We start from the raw sequence: 1,163 nt of genomic DNA, 5'->3' as shown, positions 1-1,163 counted from the left end.
TTTATTTATTTGGGATGTCTGAGTTGGGAGGAGAGCACAGAGATAGATCACTTAAAGCATGTTTTAGGACAGCAGATCAGAATTAGTTGGAAAACTTTTACAAAATGCATGAACGTTCATATAGTGAAATACTCTTGTTTTTGGACAGAGTTTCATTCTTGTTGCCCAGGCTGGAGTGCAATGGCATGATTTCGGCTCACCGCAACCTTTGCCTCCCGGGTTCAAGCAATTATCCTTCCTCAGCCTCTCGAGTAGCTGGGATTACAGGCATGTGCCACCATGCCTGGCTAATTTTTGTATTTTCAATAGAGACGGGGTTTCAGCTTGTTGGTCAGGCTGGTCTCGAACTCTCGACCTCAGGTGATCCACCTGCCTTAACCTCCCAAAGTGCTGGGATTACAGGCGTGAGCCACCACGCCTGGCCCATATAGTGAAATACTCTTTAGCAATAGAAAGAACCAAAGTTGCATGAGAATAATTGCCAAGATGTATTTTTTTGTTGTTGGGGGGACGGAGCCTCCCTCTGTCGCCCAGGCTGGAGGTTGGTGATGTGATCTCGGCTCACTGCAAGCTCTGCCTCCTGGGTTCATGCCATTCTCCCCACCTCAGCCTCCTGAGTAGCTGGGACTACAGGCACCCGCCACCATGCCTGGCTAACTTTTTTGTATTTTTAATAGAGACGGGGTTTCACTGTGTTAGCCAGGATGATCTTGATCTCCTGACCTCATGATCCACCCGCCTCAGCCTCCCAAAGTGCTGGGATTACAGGTGTGAGCCACCGCGCCAGGCCAACCAAGATGTATTAAGTAATAAAAGCAAGATACAGAACAGTGTGTTTCTAGTATGCCACCATTTACATAGGGGAAAAAGTTTGAGTGTATGTATGTGTAGGATATTTCTAAAGGACACTCTAGAAACTAGTAACTTTGGTTGCCTTCTGGGAGGGTAACTGGGTAGCAGCTGGAGGAGAAGGGCGAGGAGATTTTTCACTTTGTATTCTGTGGTACTTTTAAAAACTCTTAAGTCCTGCATATAATGTTTATTTCTAAAAAAATCAACCCTCCCCACAATGCCACATGTTGGCTTTTCCCTTTCCACCTGGAGCAGTTGCAGATGTATAGATGAGGAGAAAGCTCCTCAGGTGGTTTTAATGTCTGGTCTCA

General features: G+C 46.1%; 1 annotated feature.

Moving 5' to 3' along the window:
• Positions 303 to 501: a silencer, noted in NCBI's record as "fragment chr17:21532008-21532206 (GRCh37/hg19 assembly coordinates)". NCBI's record gives its function as "represses an EF-1alpha promoter that drives an FKBP-Casp9 reporter gene in an ReSE screen in phorbol 12-myristate 13-acetate-treated (for megakaryocytic differentiation) K562 erythroleukemia cells {active_cell/tissue: K562(+PMA)}" and the evidence as "EXISTENCE:reporter gene assay evidence [ECO:0000049][PMID:32094911]".

The sequence above is a fragment of the Homo sapiens genome, chromosome 17 (genome assembly GCF_000001405.40).
Source record: "Homo sapiens chromosome 17, GRCh38.p14 Primary Assembly".
In the NCBI taxonomy this organism is placed as follows: domain Eukaryota; kingdom Metazoa; phylum Chordata; class Mammalia; order Primates; family Hominidae; genus Homo; species Homo sapiens.
This window is presented reverse-complemented; position numbering and strand designations above follow the sequence as displayed.